Genomic DNA, 20,330 nt, shown 5'->3' on the forward strand with positions numbered 1-20,330 from the left:
TCGTGCTGGTGTCTGCTGGTTGTCTTGCAGAGCACAACCACACACAGTGAGCGTCTGCTCCTCAACTTGGGTGCTGGTGCCTGAGCTGCAGCTGCAGTTGCAGCCTTCTCTATAGATACACAAAGATTTAACGTTCCTTAAACAAAAATAACTGAAAGGACTTCTAGAGAATATCCACTTGTCTTATAAAAGGACTCTCAGCCCAGAGAGCTTCTGTGCCTTGTCGATAGTGGCAGAGCTGGGATCCCAATGCTTCTGCCCTGCTGGTTTGAGTCACATTCTCCATAGAGCAGTTTGCCCTTCCCAGTTCTGTGTTAGTCAGCCCCGTTCTCACTTGCATCCTGCCTCGAGTCACTTGAGCAGCCTCTGGGTTCTTCCACAGCTCCTTGTTCTCTGAAATGAGGCCCATCCTATGCCTGATGCCGAGGCTGCTCTTCACTCTCCACACCTACTCACCTCCTCCGAACCTCAGGCCAGTGCAGGCGCTCTGTCCCGCATCCCTTACTCACAACTGTGCTCTCCAGCCTCTGCCTTGAAATGTTTCTCGAATGCCTTCTCACATGCTGACAGAAGCCAAAGAGGCAAAGAGGGTGGCAGCATCTGAGGACTGGGACCAGGCGTGGAGGGGAGGGCACCAGGATGGACTCACAAGCCCATGCCTCATCCTGAGGCAGCCACTGTGGGTGTTGACCTAGTGCTACCGGGGTTGCAAGTTTCTCAAGATAACTAGAAAGTTGAATTTTATGTAAAGTCTTCCAGTTCTTAATTTTAGTTACTAGTTTCTGAAAACTTTTAACACTATATAAACAAAAGAAAACATACTAGCCAATGAGCACTACTTTGCACCTTCACTCCTTCCTCTCAGGCATTTGTCATTGATTAGGGCAGTGGACTCCCACTGGGTCTAAGGAGACTGTCTAAAAGTTCTCTCTTCAAGCAAACTCCCCACAAAACCCTTTCCCTCACCAGTGCCATTATTCCCTTCCTTCCAAGAGAAAATAATTTTTATCAAATTTTTAATTTTTCATAAATATGTTTAATTTTAAATTAAGAATAATGCAATAAATAGTCTTTCCTCTTATCCCTGCTTTCTCCTATTGCTATGGTCTGAATGTTTGCATCTCCCCCAAAATTCATATGTTGAAATCTTTACCCGCAAGGTATTAGGGGGTGGGGCCTTTGGGATTAACATCCTTATAAAAGAGGCCCAAGAGAGTCATTGACCCTTCCGCTATAGGAGGTTGCTTTGAAAAGACAGCTGTCTGTGAGGCAGCAGGCCCTCAACCAGATGCCAAACCTGCTGGTGCCTTGATCTGGGACTTCCCAGCCTCCAGAACTGTGAGCAATACATTTCTATTGTTTATGACCCACCCAGTCTGTGGTATTTTTGTTAGAGCAGCTCAAATGGACTAAGACACCTGTCTTGTCTTTCTTATTATCTTCTAGCCTCCTTCCAGTTTCTCAGCCACGGAAAACCTCTTTCCCGTCCTAGGGTTTCATACATGCTATGCTCTCTATTTTCAGTGTTCTCTCAGCCTTTGCATAACTGGTTGCTTCTCTCTCTTTAGGCTCGGCCTAAAGGTCACCTTCCTTTAAGAAGCCTTCCCTGACAAGCCTGACTAGACCATCCCACCACCCCAGTGCTATCTCTCACAGCACTCTTTATTTCCTTCCTATCACTCACACAGTCTGTAGTTGCACACTTGTGTGTGATTGGTCTCTCTTGCCAAGAAACACAGAGGGCAGGGACTGTTTGCCCACTACCCTGTACCTAGCACCTCACAGAGGGCCTATCCAGGAGGCAGTCCTGCTGTATTTAGCACATGAATGGATGGATCATTGATTTACTAGAAACCCTAAGAAGGCCAAGGCACTATTTTGGAGCACAATGACAAACCCCCAAGTGCTTTTGTTATTAAGGATCTTGTGACACTTACTTCATGGCTCTGCAGCCCTTCATGCCTCACTGCATGTGTTGCACTTCCATTATCTGGCTTGGCAATTTTGTACTTGGCTCATTTCTTGTGTTCAAGCAAATCAAGATGTCTCAAGAAATAACAGCTCACACTTGTGTACAAATTCAGAATGGATAGTTTCCAAATACTCTCAAGACTTATAAATAAGGGCTAAAGAGCCATTTTGTTTTCTCACACGACACATGCTAATCATCTAGAGAATCTTTATTTCCAATGGAAATAAATCAAAGAAACAGAAGACCAGCTTTCAGAATAGCAGAATGAGGACACAGTGGATTCTCTCTCCAACAAACATTTAGCTGGAGAAAATTATGAAAGACAAGCATTTAAAATCTCTAGAAATTGTCCTAAGGGCATACAGCAAATGGAGAAACATTCTATGAATGGAATCAAAAATAACTACTAAATCTAAGTGAGAACGGCAAGTGTGTGGCCTGTGAGCCACGACCCACTCCTCCACCATCCAAACTCACTTTCTAGAGACTAACCTGGGGCTCTACTCTAGGGGGTCCAGTCAAGAAGATGGTCCCCTCTTCCCCCAGCCCCCAGTGTAGGGTACATTTCACCCTTCATGGCCAGCCTCCAGCATCTCTCATCACCCAGCAAATGAGTCAGGCCAAGAATACGGACCTGACTGTCCCACTCCAGCTCACCCATAGGTTGGAGGCTTCATGCTAGAGAGGCAAGCCCGGAAGACTAGTGGGGGTAGGTGGGAAGCAGGCAATAGAAACTGCATTTGGAGAGGTCCAGATGTTTGATTTAGCCGACAAAAGATTTCAAACCAGCCATTATAACTATATTCAAAGAACTAAAGGAAACCATGTCTAAAGAATTAAAGGAACATATGTTAACAATGTCTAACCAAACAGAGTGTCAATAAAAAGATACAAACTATGAAAAGAACCAAATAGAAATTCTGTTGTTGAAAAGAACAACAACCAAAGTGAAAAATTCACCAGAAGGGCTCAATAGTAGGTTTGAGACAGCACAACAAAGAATTCGTGGACTTGAAATTAAGATAATGAGGCTGCGCATGGAAGCTCACACCTGTAATCCAAGCATTTTGGGAGGCCAAGGCTAGTGGATCACTTCAGCTCAGGAGTTTGAGACCAGCCTGGGCAACATGGAAAACCCCATCTCTACAAAAAAAAAAAAAAAAAAAAAAAATTAGCCAGGTGTGGTGGACTTGGGAGGCCGCAGTGGAAGCATCACTTGAGCCTGGGAGATCGAGGCTGCAGTGAGCCAAGATTGTGCCACTGCACTCCAGCCTGGGTGCAGAGTGAGACCCTGTCTCAAAAAAAAAAAAAGAAATTAAGATTATGCAATCTGAAAGGGAGAAAAGAATGGAGGAAACGAAAGAGAACCTCATAAAAATGTTGGACATGATTAAGTGCACCAAAATATGTGTAATGAGAGTGCGAGAGAGAGAGGATGATGCCGAAAATATTTGAAGAAATAATGGCTGAGCACTTATCAAATTTGATGCAAAATTTTAATAAGTTAAAATTTGTAACATATTACATACACCCAGACACCTCAAAGTCAAAATGTGGAAAACCAGAGATAAAGAGAAAATCTTGAAAACAACAAAGGAAACATGACTCATCATATATTAATACAAGGGAGCCCCAGTGACAGTCTAGCTGACTTCTCATCAGAAACAATGGAGGCCAGAAGGCACTGGGATATATCTTCAAAATGCTGAAAGAAACAAATTACTTACACCATACTTTCCTTCTGGCCTTTAATCCCTGAGGTTAGGTCAGTAGGATTGAACACTAATTGTTTTATCTTAGCTCACCTTTTCATTTTTATAGAAACCAAAGACCACTGTCGTTCATCTTCATTTTGAAGTATTCTAGCTTTTTACTTGTTTGGACTAGACCTAATTATTAGCTGCAGAACCCTAATTCTTACATAAAATTTCCTTCAGTCACAGAACCATGAGAAATTAGTTTGTACTATATAAATATCTTATAGCCACTACAAATTAAATAATGTCATACATATCTGTGGAAATGTTAAGACTAGTTGTCTTAAAATAGGCGATACATTCTTCTGCATATCACCTGCTAAATACTGCTGATACACAAGGTGAGGACCTAAAATCATGTCTTTCTGCATCAGGTGACCACTCAGGGATTCCCTGGCATTCTTGGGTGTAAAATATCATATTATCAAGGAGATTGAACACAGTAGTAATTATGTATGGTTTTGATATGTTAAAATACATTTCAGAGAAAATATTGCTAACATTTTGTTGATAGTGCTAATTTTTGAGAAACACCTATTAATACTCTGTGAATATTAGTGTTGGATAAAACATAAATTTTTTGCATTTTTTTATAGAACATAATTTGGAAAAGCTTTAAATTGAAGGCTATTTGAAATAACCTCTTATTTATTTATGCCGTGGTTTCCCTAGTCACTTTAAAAATTCATCACTTTTTAATTACTGTGTTTGAAAGGTTGATTAACCAATTTTTAAGTATTCATAGTTTTTGGTTCTTCCAGTTCTGTAGGCCTTTAAACTGTGCTGTCCAATAGGGTGGCTACTAGCCACATGTGATTATTTATATTTAAACTAATTAAAATTAAATAAAATTAAAAATGTAGTTCCTCAGTCACATCAGCCACATCTCAAGTGCTCAGTAGCCACATATGGCTAGTGGCTACCACATTAGACAACATAGACATAGAACATTTATTCCATCCTTGCAGAGAGTTCTCTTAGAACACAGTGCTTTAGACTGATGATCTATTCCTTATTGCTGACTACAGTGGTATATAAATCAATTTCACCTGCACTTGAATTCTGATGGAGGTTTAGCTCTGGAAATTAGGCTGGTATTTCCCCACTTTTATAAATTTAAAGAGATATTTATATCAAATATGCTTATATATCATTTCATTTTATTGTTAGTTTGCTTATTTAATGTTGTATGGTTTTTGGGCAAGATAGTAAACCTTTCTGATCTACAGTCTTCTATGTGCTAAATAGGGATAATAATAGCCTAGCTCCTAAGGGCCTTTTGAGGAGAAGAATGCAAATAGAACAGGATCTGGCACTAACTGACTGCTGTCAAGATGATGAACCTCTAACCCACATACACTATGAAAAAAATTAATGTTTGTATTTTAAGCTTCAAATTTGTGGGAGTAATGTGTATAGCAACATACAATGAATGCAATAAGAGTTAATAACAAAAACATATATTTAAAAATCCCTATAAAATTTGAAAAATACTTCCTGTTGGATCAAAAAAGAAATAATGACAATTTTAAAATATCTACAACTGATAATAAAAATACTAAATATTAAAATTTATGTGATGTCATTAACTTGATATTTAGAATAAATTTTAGTCAAATTAGCTCAACTTTAAAAAGAAGAAAGGGGCCAGGTGCAGTGGTTCACGCCTGTAATCCCAGCACTTTGGGAGGCCAAGGCAGGCAGATGACCTGAGGTCAGGAGTTCAAGACCAGCATGGCCAACATGGTGAAACCCCGTCTCTATTAAAACTACAAAAATTAGCCGGGTGTGGTGGTGCACGCCTGTAGTCCCAGCTACTTGGGAGGCTGAGGCACAAGAATCGCTTGAACCTGGGAGGCAGAGGTTGCAGTGACCCGAGATCATGCCATTGCACTCCAGCCTGGGCAACAGAGGGAGACTCGGTCTCAAATAAATAAATAAAAATAAACAAAAAGAAGAAAGGACTGGACACAGTGGCTCATGTTGATAATCCCAGCATTTTGAGAGTCCAAGGCAGAAGGATCGCAAGAGGCCAAAGTTTGAGACCAGCCCAGGCAGCATAGCAAGACCTCGTCTCTTCAAAAGGGAAAAAAAAAAAAAAAAAAAAAAAAAGCCAGGCACGGTGGCATGTGCCTGTAGTCCTAGCTACTCAGGAGGCTGAAGTAGGATAGCTTGAGAGAAAGGCTGCAAACTAATGATCTAAGCCTCCAACATAAGAAATAGGAAAGGCATAATAGAATAAGTCCAAAGAAAATGGAAAAAAAGATTATAAATGTGAGTAGAAATTAATGACATAAACAGTGACTAAACAAAAGCAAGAAATAATAATCCTGTGGTAAAACTGATAAAGAGAAGATAAATAATAGTAAAAAGGAAAATTAGGGATATCAGTCCCATCAGGAATTGGAAACATATATGTGCTCACTTTGGCAGCACGTATACTGTAATTGGAAAGCTACAGAGAAGATTAGCGTGGCCCCTGGGCAAGGATGACATGCAAATTCATGAAGCATTACATATTTTTTAGTAATATTAATAAAACTTGAAAAAAACAAATGTAAGAATACTGTAGCATCTTCATGCTATTAAGTTTGAAAATAGACAAGATGGAAAAATCCCTAGAAAAATATATTACCAAAATATCTTAAGAAAAAAATTAAAAAGTTCAAATAGTCCAGTTATCATTAGAGATGTTGAGCTGGTAGTTCAGAATCTTCTCAGGAAAGAAAACACTAAAGCTAAATGATTTTATTACCTAATTATTTCTAACTGTCAAAACACAGATTATGTGAGTCTTATACTTAGAATTTTTATCTAAAATTTTCAAAAGAAAAGGTAATCAACTTGTTCTGTGAAGCTGATATAAATGATCTTGATACCAAATGTAGTATGAAAAATAAAATTAAAGACCAATATCATTAATAGACCTAGAGACAAAATTTCTAAATAAGACATAGCAAATAGGATCTTGGCTTTACATCAAAAGTGAAAAACTACTTTAATACTCAGAAAGAATTTGAAATTGTCATTTGCCACATTAACGTGTTAAAGGGGGAAGCAATTATTTAAATTAATACAGATAAAGCATTTGATAAGCTCCAACATCCATTCATGATTTAAAAAAAAAAAAAATTCCTTGACAAACTAGGACTCCCTAACTGGGTGAAGGACATCTACAAAAAACCAAAAATGAAAAACTACCAACAATAAAAGCAAACATTAGTGACTATAAAACATTCAAGACTTTTTCTTTAAAGCTGGAACAAAATAAGGATGCCCAGTCACTGGCTTCTCCAGCATTGCCCTGAAGGTCCTAAAAGGCAGCCATAAAAGAAAATAAGAAGCAAAATTGGAATTATGAAATGATTGCATGAAAGTACACTAAACGGATTACAAATAGTAATTGATGGATTACAAAAGTTCAATATACAAGGCCATTGTATTTCTACACACCAGCAACACACAACAACAAACAAAACACCATTTAAAATAGAACACAAAACCATAGACAGTCTAGGCGTAGATCTAACAAAACATGTACAAGAGCTATATGGAGAAACTTACAAAATTTTATTATAAAAATTGACCTAAGTACCCCACCAAGAAAAGATTTATCTACCAGTCACTCTACCATGCCCTAAATCACTATATCATGTGAATGACTTCAATGCTCACAACAGCCCTCTGAATTAGATTCTCTTATTTTGTGTTAAAAATGAGTAAGTTCAAGCTCATACAGATAAGCAACTTTTGCAAGATCCAAAGTTATTAACATAATGCTGCCCCCCGGGAAGCCATTTGTGTTCCATTGAATATGATAAAATTTATGGTAAATACCTGGCAGTTCAGGAAAAACAAGTAAGTCATGGGGACACTTTTCTGCTCAGACCTGTCACACTAGCACTGATTTTAGGAGATAGCGTTTCACTGGGCAGAAAGCATTGACAAGTGGGTGGAATTCAGCGCAGGCTGCTGATAAGCTGACGCTGGTCTGGGCAGTCTGTGGAATGCCACAGTTCCAATCCAGTCGAACCAGGGGGGTGATGACTCCACCTCGGGCCTGAGCCAGCCTGCCTCTGAGCTGCAGCTGTGTGAGCAAAACAGAGTGGGAGAGCATGTGTGGTGGGTGTGAATACCAGGAGAAGAAGAGTGATAACTCGTCTCTAGGGCAAAAGAATAGACAGAAGCACCCTTCCTTGTTATTTGAGACAAAGGAAAACGTCAGGGCAAACTTAAAGGCAAAGGTAGTAGCCAGTTCCATACCTCTCCCTTCTCAACACAATCAAAAATATAGAAACTTTGTATTTGGATCTGTGGGGATTTTTGTGTTTGTCTTGACTTTTGCATAGGTTAAAAAAATAACACAGGCCGGGCACAGTGACTCACGCCTGTAATCCCAGCACTTTGGGAGGCCAAGGCGGGTGGATCACGAGGTCAAGAGATGGAGACCATCTTGGCCAACATGGTGAAACCCCGTCTCTACTAAAAATACAAAAATTAGCCGGGCGTGGTGGCATACACCTATAGTCCCAGCTACTCGGGAGGCTGAGGCAGGAGAATTGCTTGAACCCAGGAGGCGGAGGTTGCAGTGGGTCGAGATTACGCCACTGCACTCCAGCCTGGCAACAGAGTGAGACTCTGTTTCAAAAGAATTAATCAATAAAAATAAAATAACATTTAAAGCAAAGTCTTGGGGGTATCAGTAGGAGATGACCAGGCCTTAATGTAATCACATGTGGAGGGGTAGGGGCCACCATGGGTTGTTCTCTAACAGAAGAGCCTGGAGACTCCTCCTAGGAAATGCAGCCTGGTCCTACCTCCAGTTCCCCTACATGTCCTGGTCCCCAAGGCTTGGCCTGGACTTCCCTATTTAGTTATGGAATGGAGAAGCAAGTCACGTGAGGAGTTAACTAGGAGGTAAGGAGGCCTTTAAATGGTGTATATACCAAAAAAAAGACATTATAAATTCAACATCAAAACGTATACTTTTATACCTGCTCTCAGGTAGCATACTGGAAACTAAAAAAGACCTCAGACTTGGAGAGAAGAGAGGGAAACAAAACAAGATTAGACTATGAATGGAAAAATTAGTTCCCATCTAGAAATCTATACCCAGCCAAACTGCCCATAAAGTTTGTGGATCGATTACCAACAACTTTATTTTCTTGGCCATTTAATGTTTTTTCTTTGTGTTTTCCTATATTTCTCATTCCATTTTTTTTCCTCTAGTGATTAGGAGGTTATATTCCCTGTTTCTGTTCTTTGGTGATTATCCTTGAAATTGTACCGCATACACTATACTTAAGTTAATATCTTAACTCCAGGCTTAGAGTGATATGAGGACTTGGGAACATTTGAGCTCCAGTCACTGCCCGTTTGATTTCATTGCTATCCATTTTCAGTTTTTCAGCTCTACACCTTTAATATTATTAATTGTGTTGTTATTCTGTCCTGTGTTTATTTTGGGTTGTTTGTATTTTTGCTCATTAGTCCTTGTATCTCAGGCCTTTATTCCACAATAATTTCCTTATTCCTAGAGTACGTAATTTAGAAATCATTTTATTTGTTTTTTTGAGACAGGGTCTCACTGTGCCACCCAGGCTGGAGTGCAGTGGCACAGTCGTAGCTCATTGCAACCCTCAAACTCTTGGGCTCAAGGGATCCTCCCACCTCAGCCTTCTGAGTAGCTGAGACCACAACCGTGCACCACCATACCCAGCTAATTTTTTTATTTATTGTAGAGACAGGGTCTCACTTTGTTGCCCAGGCTAATCTCGAACTCCTAGACTCAAGTGATCCTCTCGCCTCAGCCTCCCAAAGTGCTGGGATTACAGGTGTCAACCACTGCACCTGGTCTAGAAATCATTTTAGTAATTAGTAAATCAGTAAATACGTCAGGTTCTGTAGGTAGAAAATGCTCCTAGTTTTTCTTTGTCTAAAAATGTCCCAGGCCAGGCGGGGTGGCTCACGCCTGTAATCCCAACACTTTGGGAGACCGAGGTAGGCAGATCACTTGAGGCCAGGAATTCGAGACCAGCCTGCCCAACATGGAGAAACCCCATCTCTACTAAAAATACAAAAATTAGCCAGGTGTGGCAGTGGGCTCCTGTAATCACAGCTACTCAGGAGGCTGAGGCAAGAGAATCACTTGAACACGGGAGATGGAGGTTGCGGTGAGCTGAGATTGCTCCACTGCACCCCAGCCTGGGCAGCAGAGCAAGACTCCATCTCAAAATAAATAAATAAATAAATAAATAAATAAATAAATACAAATAAAAAAATTAAAATGTCCTTATTTTACCATCATTCTTGAAAGGAGTTTTGCTGGTACAGTTCTGAGATGGCTTTCAGAATTCTGAAAATATTCCATGTCTTCTGGCGTCATTCATTGCTCTTTAGAAGGTTGATTTAAGTCAAATTTGTGTTCCTTTGCAGATGTACTATCTTCTAAATCTTCTCATTGTGTGTACTTTTAAAATCTTATTTGTGTGCTTCTTGCTTTTAACAGCTCATAGTCTTTGGTATTCTCTAGTTTCATTACAGTGAGTATATTAGTTGGATTTCCATTTCGTTGTCTTGCTTGGTATTTGTTTGGTCTTTTTCCCCCCTTTGTTTTTGTTTTGAGACAGGGTCTTGCTCTGTTGCCCAGGCTGGAGTGCAGTGACATGATGACAGCTCACTTAAGCCTCAACCTCCTGGGCTGAAGTGATCCTCCCACCTCAGCCCCTGAAGTAGTTGGGACTATGGGCGTTCGCCATCATACCCAGCTAAATTTTTTAAAATTTTTCCTAGAGACAAGATCTCAATACATTGTCCAGGCTGGTCTTAAACCCCTCAGTTCAAGTAATCCTCCCACCTTGGCCTACCAAAGTGCTGGGATTACAGGTGTGAGCCACTATGGCCAGCCCCACTTGGTATTTGTTTTTCTTCCTGTATCTTAAATCAGTTGGGAAAAATTCTCAATCACTGTAACTACATATTATTGCTTCCCCTCCTCTGTCTTGTTTTACTGAAATTCCTATTAGACGTGTTAGACCTTCTCACTCTCCTCTATTTCTGCACCTTCTCTCATGTTTTTTTCCTCTCACTTCTCAAGCTATATTCTGAGTAATTTATTCAGATTTATACCTCAGATCTCATATATACACTTTTCAGATGCATATAGCCATTTGTTACACCTACTCAGTGAATATTTTTATTTCAATAAATGTAGCTTTCCTTTTTGAAAATGTGATTTCATCCTTCTTCAAATCTATCAAGTCATTTTATGTAGTTTCTTGTCTCCTATTCATATTTTGGGGACCTTTTACCTCTTTAAAACAGTTATTCTATATTTTCTATTCATTAATTCTAATATCTCAAGTCCCCAGCAGGTCTGGTGTTACTTCTTTTGACTATTCCCACATGATGGTTTGTTTCTTTGTGTTTGATTTTTATTTGAGCACATCTTTGTTTGGTCTTATTCCATGGTGAACTAGCAATCCAAGTAAAGGTGCTTTTTTTCAGACAGGATATATTTCTGCTTCTCTTGCAAACCAGCTGGCCCTGTGGGCCTGGAAGACTTCATTAAGGAGTCTACAGTTCTTGACCCTTTTGCCAAGGCAGCACTTAAGGCTCCTGGCTTCATCTGTTCTCCTCCAACATGTGCTTTTTTCACATTCTTATCTTTAGAACAGTTTTTATGTCCATTTTGTGATGTTATTTACTGACTATAATTTCTTCAGGCTCCGTGAAATGTTTTCTGAGAATATGTCATTTTGTGATAAATAAGCTTCATTTACTTCAGTTACAAAATAAGAGGATTGGAAATTCAGTCATAAATAGGCTCTCATGAGTAACATCATCTAAACTTAAAAGCTGGGGGGAATCCCATCATGTCGCTGGCTGTCCATCATGGCTGTGTTGCTGCAAGCTGGGACACCAGGTTTTATCCTGCTGGGATATGCGTGTCTAAACGTGTACTGTCGCAGAGAATGCCTCTTATTGTTGTTCTTATCGTAATGTTATCCTGCAGCTTTTCTCAGTATCGAGCATCCACACAAAGCAAATATTTCTTTCATGGGAAACGGTAAAAATGGGAAAAGGACACTCTGTTTCTAGGTAATGTATTTGGTTTAAGAGAATGGTCATCTTGAGGTACTTTTCAGCCATATTTGGCTTAGGTTTTAGTTTCATGCCTGTGGATGGTGGTTCAAACACCTGCATGAACACATACAGAAAGGATATCTTGAATTCAACGTTTTTTTAATCCTGACTCACCCATTTAGGAAGATGACTACAGTGGATTTCTTTTTTTTTTCCCCCCTTGGTTTTTCTTTACTTTCTTTAAATTATATTGACCAGTCACAGCAGTATATAGTGGCTTTATAATGAAGAAGAGGGAAATCTTGATCTCTGTATTAATCCAAACTGCCTCCTCAAAGACAAATGTGAATGGTTTTTTACAGAGCCTGCCTTCTGGTACAAGATGCCTGTGGAATGTTCGGTGAAGTGCACTTGGAGTTCACCATGTCGAAGGCAAGACAGTTGGAAGGGAAGTCTTGCAGCCTGGTGGGAATGAAGGTTCTACAGAAAGTCACCAGAGGAAGGTGAGAACGTGCAGGAATGGCATCCAATTTGCTACAATTGTTGGTTCTTTTTCTTAGTCTTTTGTCTCTAATTTTATTTTTAAAATTAAAAGGCAATAAACCAGGATCCTAGAGTTTGCCCATAAAACAAGGCCAGGAGTTGAGTGGAATCTATAAAGTATCTTTAGGGGAAGAATTTCAATTGACAACGAAAAGAATTAGGCAGATTTCATGATTCATAATTTTATTAAAAGAAGATTAAAATGTTATGTATGTCTTTTAATTATGAAAATCTGTCTTTTGTAAGTGTTTTCTTCACTATAACAATAAAGCATCTTTGGGTGGTAGGTTGTGTAAATGAAAATCTAATTTAGTGAAAAGACATTTTGTGAGCTTTAAGCAAAATTCTTAAGTTGTCATGTCTTTGCACTTTCCAAAGTAAGCAAGCATTGTTCTCTGCCAGGTTTCATGGCACCTCGCCCTAAAATGTTGTTTTTGATAGGCAGAGGTGGAGTGTTACAAAGATCTGGCCTATCTGTGCCTGTTACATCTCCAGTAATCATTCTAATCTATGAATTAGGGGGAAAAAAAAAAGAAACATTTTTAATGGAACTATCCAGTCATACAGTGAATTGGGGGTTTTCTCAATCTTCTTGTTACATCTCTTTCTTTAAATGGTTTGTTATTTTAGCTCTCTTGTTGATGTTTATATTAAATTATAGTAACATCTGAGCTATAACAGTATCGGAAGGAGGAAAAGTCCAGTTCTGAGTGTATGATATTCTGCTTTTGGAACATTTATTGATAGTATCCTCCAGTAGTTTGCATCATGACCACTCTGGCTGTGGCCATTCTAAATGGTGAATGTTTAGTGAGCATTTCCTTGACTGAGCTCAGTAGGCATTTAGCTCTCCCACAGGCCTTGACTTTGAGTCCTGTCTCTCTTTCCTGTGGCACCGTACTGCTGAGTGACAGCTCTGCCCAAGAGCTTGTTTTCCTGGGAGACATATCCCCTGTAAGCCCTGAGTAGATAAGAGCACATTTTCATTGATCTGTATAGCTGTGTTTTGTTTTGGTTTGGTTTGGTTTTTGGTTTTTTTGTTTTTTGTTTTGTCTTGTTTTATTTTGTTTTTGAGACAGAGTTTCGCTCTTGTTACCCAGGCTGGAGTGCAATGGCGCCGTCTTGGCTCACTGCAACCTCTGCCTCCCAGATTCAAGCGATTCTCCTGCCTCAGCCTCCCAAGTAGCTGGAATTACAGGCATGCGCCACTACGCCCAGCTAATTTTCTGTATTTAGTAGAGACAGGGTTTCACCATGTTGGTCAGGCTGGTCTCAAACTCCTGACCTCAGGTGATCCACCCACCTCAGCCTCCCAAAGTGCTGGGATTACAGGCGTGAGCTACCACGCCCGGCCAGCTATGTTTTATAATAAATACTTCCTCTTGTTTGTAAACAGGCAGCTATATTATAATTTAATTGCATTATGTATTTGGGGAATGCAGTTCATCCAGATATTTGGAAAGCATGTCTAGATACGAGAAAAGCTTGGTTGGGTCACATGAGTCTTACCCTTATTAAGACTGAACCTCATTTTAGTCCTCATTAGAATATTCATTGTAGGCCAGGCACGGTGGCTCCTCACACTTTGGGAAGCCAAGGCAGGCTGATCACTTGAGGCCAGGAGTTTGAGACCAGCCTAGCCAACATGTCAAAACCCTATCTCTACTAAAAATAAAAAATAAAAATTAGCTGGGCATGGTGGCACATGCCTGTAGTCCCAGCTACTTAGGCTGAGGCATGAGAATTGCTTGAAACCTCGAGGCAGAGGTTGCAGTGAGCTGAGATTGCACCACTGCACTCCAGCCTGGGTGACAGAGCGACACTCTATCTCAAAAAGAAAAGAATATTCATTGTAAACATTTCAGACTCACAAGCATCTGAAGACTAAGTGTAGTTATGGTAACCATCAGGGTCGTTTAGAGGGGAGGGCTCTTTCACTCGGCTGCCACCCACCTGAGCCTGGCAAGGACACGAGGGGGCTCCCGCCACAGGATGTTCCAGCTGTGCTCCAGGCCAGAGGCAGCTGTTCTGGCTGGAGACTGCAGGACGTAGCATCTTACAGAAATACTGCTGGGGAAGGACACAGCCAGACAGGACCTGGGAATCTTTGTCTCTCTAAAGGTCCTGTTCTTTCACCATTCTTCTTTATAGCCATACATGTACCTAACATTTAATCTAGTTTTTGTGGTTGGCACTAGAAGCCTAACCGTCTGTAACATTTACATGGGAAATGTTTTTGCCATGGGAAATGCATTGAGTATTCCAACAAATTCATTTACTGATAAACTTTTGAACCTCCTTCCTTGTTAAAGTTGGTGACTAATATTTGATGCTTTTTTAGGTTGAGATTATTTTATATATTTAATTATATTTTGCCATGCAAAACATCCAAATAAATGTTTAGATTGTGTTCTTGTTCTTTTGGAAGCTATATTTCTTCAAAACAAATTATTAAATAGTTTTGGAATGTGGGATGTTATAATTGCTTATTAGTGACATCATCCATCCATGGCCCAGTAAACACAACATTCTCTCTCTTTTTTTTTTTCCAAATTATTGTGTTTCATAGCAATTCTCGTAAACTTTAACAAAATATGCTTCTCATAAACCTTAACAAAATATACTTCCCCAAATTCAAGCTAAAATGATTAATTTTATAATTTCAGTATCTAATACCGAAAATAACCTTTTCCCAATTGGAAGATAGTTGTATGTTTGGGCTAAGTCACAGAGCCTCTTAGATCTGGCCTACCAGATCTAAATTTCATCTGATCCACAGTTCTGGTGATGAAATATCACTCAGCCCTACCCGCTGTTGAATGGCTGTGTTGCAGGGAACTTGTGATCACAGAGCCACCAGGCAGGCACACATGCTGCCAGATGCCTATGCAGGGAGCACCGCTCCAGCCACCTGCTTTGGTCCAGAGGCTCGCAGAAAAACAGCATCATAGCTTTTGTTTCTCTGACGGACTAATTTTTTGGATTTGAGTGTCTATGTCGACTGGTCAGAGGAAGAAGAGTCAGAAAAACAGCCTGAGCTTCGGTTTAAAAACTGTACAGTTTTCACAACAGTGCCAGTCTGATGTATGCTCACCGCAGAACATGCAGCATGGCCTGTGCTTCCTTCCTCTCCGGGGCACACCTGCTATTCCTCAATGACTCTCTACTAAGGGCCACCCCCCAACCTGCCCCCGACCACCGACCTCTGTCCTCCCAAGTGGCCTGTGCGGCACTTTAGTAGGCCAAACAAGCTGAGAAGTCACGTGGCTTTGGTGTCATAATTCTGTGTGTGAACTTCATTTTTTGTTGCTGTTTATTATATGCTTTTATTTGTATTTGCCAGGGCAATACTGAGAAAAAGAAAAGAAATTCCCTGAAATATGTTAACCTATCATAGGTATAGAAACTATAGCTAACAAATTATTTTGTGGGGAGTGGGGAAAGGAGACCTCTTTCAGTTCAAAAATCTGGTATTTATTTCCCAACTTGTTAAAACAACCACAGAGTCCAAAATATATTATTAATTTATAGGTACTATTTTCTGTAGGCCTCTTGAAGGGCCGTTTTACAGTAGTGTACTGGAGAAGCTCTTACTGAAGAGCATTTTGTCAATACTCAGTGTCTACAGAGGGTGCTGTCTGAGTGTTGAGAATGACAAAGGAAGCAACTGACATGGTCTTTGACCTTGAATTGTGTCCCTTTCAACCCAAAACAGGACAGGCAGAAGTATTAGAGTAGTTGATGATTCAATTAACTAGATCTTAGCTGACTGATCTCAGAAGGTTTCATGAAAGAAGTGAGAACAAATGCTTTAAACATCTTGATCTAGCAGAAAGAAAAGTGTCTCTAAATTGGTGAGATGTTATCTGTGGAGACAAATGTAGGATTTAGAGAGAGAGATGCAAAAGGGGAAGTAAGAGGGTTTATTCAAGAGAGATTATGACTGGGTGCAGTGGCTCTTGCCTGTAACCTAGCACTTTGGGATGCCAAGACGGGCAGATCGCTTGAGCTCAGGAGTTCGAGACCAGCCAGGGCAACATAGTGAGACCTCCACCTCAAAAAAAAAAAAAAAGAAAAAGTTAATTCTCTCACTTATTCAGTAAATATTATTTAGTCCCTGTTTGTACTATGCTCCCAGCTAGTTGCCATGGCATTGAGCTGTGTGCCAGATTTGGGGGATTTATCACAAACCAGAATATACTGAGGTATAAAGTCTGCTAGATAAAGCCTAAATCCTATTATTAGGGATTTTGCATTGGTTCCAGAGAAATGAGGGTCGATATGAGTTTTTGAGTGAAGAAGAGAAGAGGTCATAAACACAAAAATGGAGTAAGACTGTCTACTCCTGTACCTGCAATAGATGGGAAATTGAGGGAGAGATTGGGATAGGGCCACAAGGCTGGAAACTTTTCCCACAGCTGAAGGAAGGGGAACAGAGAAGTGGTACATAGGGAGCTCTCAGGAGCTGTGGCACATGCCAGGAGCACAAAACAGCTCACTTCCTCCACACTCAGAGCAGCATGGAAGCCAAGGGGAGACTCAGAAGGATAGCTGGTGATGCAGCACCACCTAGCAAGCACCCACACAGAGAGCGGAGGCTCAGAGCACCCACTTTGGAGGGGGTGCAGAGGGTGGGGTAAGATGTAGGAGCTCTGGAGAGAACAGGAAAGGCATGGGCTAAGGGCTAAAATGGAAGGGAGAACAAGCTCCCAGGCCCACACAGCCATTTCATCCCCTGGGGAGTGAGGCAAGGCGAGGACCACTGCCCTGGTCAGTTTCCATGAAAAGGTGAGGGGAGGAAGTGCATTTCAGAGAATGAGCCAATTGAGAAGCTATTGTCTAAACACCAAATTTGATTTTTACGGCAGCAGATTAAGTGGTGATAAGCTTTATATCAGAAGCCAAGCTCAGTCAACATGCTCAGAAAAATAACCATCTGAGTCAGGATAGAAAGTTCCTTTGTAGCCCCCAGTGGGATTCCCAGCCCACTGCCCTGCTAGCCTCTGCACTAGTTTCCCAGGCTTTATTTAACCCCCTTTTCCCTCACAGGCCAGTCTCATGCTGCACCCTCATTAAGGGCCCAGCACTGCCTCCCTTGCCTCCTGCTGCAACCACCACCAGGGTGCCCTCTGGCACCATGGAGGTAACCTTGCAGCTCACTCTGGTGCCTGTGCCTAGGGCTGTGTGGGATGTCTGCTAGCCTGTGGCCCAACACAGACGCATGTTTTAATGTCAGTGAGCAGTGTCACTGGTATAGGTTTGAGTGTGCCCCTTTTTTGATGAATAATATGAGAACATCATGCCATTCATATGAGGAGCCCTCCAGTGCATCATAGATGCATCATACAAGGGCTGCTCTCCAGTGCTGGCCCATGGCACGTGCCTGCCTTCCCCATCCCCTCCAGTGCTGGCCTGTGCCAGGTCCCCACCTTCCCCCGCCCCCTCCAGTGCTGGCCTGTGCCAGGTGCCCACCTGCCCCCATCCGCTCCTGTGCTGGCCTGTGTCAGGTGCCTACCTCCCCCCACCCCTTCCAGTGCTGGCCTGTGCCAGGTGCCCACTTCCCCCATCCCCTCCAGTGCTGGCCTGTGCCATGTGCCCGCCTGCCTCCATCCCCTCCAGTGCTGGCCTGTGCCATGTGCCCGCCTGCCTCCATCCCCTCCAGTGCTGGCCTGTGCCATGTGCTGCGCCACTGGGCTCCAAGTCTAATGGACCTATGATGGCTTCATCATCATTACAACTGTTCCTTGTAGGGTGTCTGCACATAGACAGTCAGTGAAGGTGTGTCAATTGCATGCCCAGCCGCCATATTTCACAGTTGCCTGCTGGTTGGTAGGCTCCCTCAGGGCAGGTGCTGTTTCTCATTTACCGTTATATTTTCTGTAGATAGCAGAATTTCTGACACATGATAAGCAAATAATTTGTATTTGTGGGATGCACATTAGGTGTTTTCTTGGGTTAATCTTAGAACTTTTGTCAGCAAGATTTAAATGTGTGTTTATACTTCATAATTATTGGAGCTCAATTTTAGCAGTAAGGGTGGCGACCCATTACTGTATGCGGTGCAGGTGACAGAGTCTGTGTGCGGTGCAGGTGACAACCACGCTAGCCATGTGCCTCTGGACACAGACCCTCGGTGTCCTCACTAATTTAAGGGAAAGTGAACATGGGCATGTGGTGAAAGCACTTTATCACGGATGGCAAGAGTGTGAGTGTTCATTATGAATTTTTCACAGGAAAAAAAGTTGTATGCATTGCACTTTCCCTTTTCCTTTTAGTCTTCACAAAAGTCAATTACAGAGGAGGAAGCTCAATGTCCACCCAGTCTTACAGAAGAGGGCCTGAGATAGAGGTGGGGTGACTGGCCCAGGGTCCACCAGCCAGCCCAGCTGTGACTGGGCAGGATGCTGGGGCCTTCAGTCTCCCGCAGAGCCCATCACGTTCCATCCAGCTGAGTGAGACTGGGGTACACCAAAGTGCTGGAGAGGGAACCCTTAGGAATCATTCCACACAAGTTTACTGGGCCGGGTTATGTATTGGAGAATCATTTCAGAGGCTCCTTTAACAGGAAATATGTAGTGGTAAGAGCTCTCCGTGGGTAAGAAACTTCAATAGTAATTTACTTCCTTTGATTTTCCTTCTTCAAAAAGGCCACCCTTTTAAAAAGCCACACACTTCCCTTGGGGTTTGAGGTCCAGAATCTCTTTCTTAATTGCTATGCTTAGAAACCCTGCTTCAAAGGACATTTCTAAGAATTCTTTCATGATTTTGAAAAATAAAATTGTTCCTGGTGACTTCACCGAAGTTTCTGAAAGGAGAATAAAGTACCACTTAAGATAGAGTGCTGGGCTGGGCTCAATGGCTCACACCTGTAATCCCAGCACTTTGGGAGGCCGAGAGGCAGATCACCTGAGGTCAGGAGTTTCTAGCCAGGCAGGCGTGCCACATAGTGGCATGCACCTCTAATCCCAGCTACTCAGGAGGCAGAGGTAGGCGAATCACTTGAACCGGGAGGCGGAGGTTGCAGTGAGCCGAGATCACGCCATTGCGCTCCAGCCTGGACGAAAGAGCAAGACTCCATCTCAAAAAACAAAAAGAGAGAGAGAGAGAATGCGAATCTTGAGACCAGGACTGCTCAGAGCAGCAACAGTAGACACCTTCTACCTGAGCAGCATGCTGTTACTTCAAGCCCTTCATCAGTTTAGGAGTATGTTTTGTGTTTTCCCTATAGTTTTTTTCTTTCTGCCAAATGTTACCTCCCACTAGTATTTTAAGTCAAAATTTAATTTTATTGTCCTTTAAGACTGGGGTTTTTTGGGCCAATATTTAACTATTGTAAAGTATCTCTTTGTAAGATCTTCTGCTAAAATAATGCATTCTAAGCATCCGGATTGCGATTTTTTTTTTAACATAGAGCATTTTAGAAGGTACAGTAAGCTCTACAAAACATTTTCTTTGGATTGGTTACATTTTAGGAAGATGAAGTCTGTTTTCCTGATTTTTGTTTAATCGCTTTATTTCTGAGTGTCTTTATTGTTACTGTAAACTGACAATTATTTTTACTAGTGAGTCTAATCCAAGATTAATAGAGATCGTGACTTATTTTAAAGGAAACATATTTTTTAAATCTAAGGTCTTAGTCCCAAGTCACACAAATCATTATTAGAATTTATAACTCTCTAAGGCTTCAACTGTTTCTTCACTTCCTTATATATTTGGTTGCTTTACTATGAACACATTAATTGATTCTTATACAAGGAGTCTTTATCTTAATAATCTGCTTAAAATAATTTTGATAATGTGTATTTTGCATAAGAACAATGAAGAAAATCAGAAGTTGAAAAGTTGAATCTTTAATTTACAAAGACTTATTTTCTCATTAGAATAATAAAGGAGTGTGTAGAAATACAGCAACCTGAGCAATATTATACTTCCAAGTTTTAGTTTCTTCATTTTAATTAGCAGCTAAACAGTCA

At 41.1% G+C, this 20,330-nt stretch overlaps 1 protein-coding gene and 1 pseudogene across 59 annotated transcripts in view; both read left to right on the top strand.

Moving 5' to 3' along the window:
* The window catches only part of SPIDR (scaffold protein involved in DNA repair), a 475,429-nt gene that overhangs the window by 400,747 nt on the left and 54,352 nt on the right, over window positions 1-20,330 (top strand). For all 59 annotated transcript variants that reach the window (NR_148202.1, NR_148205.1, NR_148204.1 and 56 more), the window contains one exon: window positions 12,177-12,317. Coding sequence is in view for 54 of the 59 variants with exons in the window: in XM_017013268.3 (XP_016868757.1) it covers window positions 12,177-12,317 (141 nt within the window). In the remaining 5 variants the exon portion in view is untranslated. The remainder of the gene's footprint in view (window positions 1-12,176; window positions 12,318-20,330) is intronic.
* RNU6-665P (RNA, U6 small nuclear 665, pseudogene) lies at window positions 6,147-6,253 on the top strand (annotated as a pseudogene).

This window comes from Homo sapiens, chromosome 8 (assembly GCF_000001405.40).
Source record: "Homo sapiens chromosome 8, GRCh38.p14 Primary Assembly".
NCBI classification, from domain to species: Eukaryota; Metazoa; Chordata; class Mammalia; order Primates; family Hominidae; genus Homo; species Homo sapiens.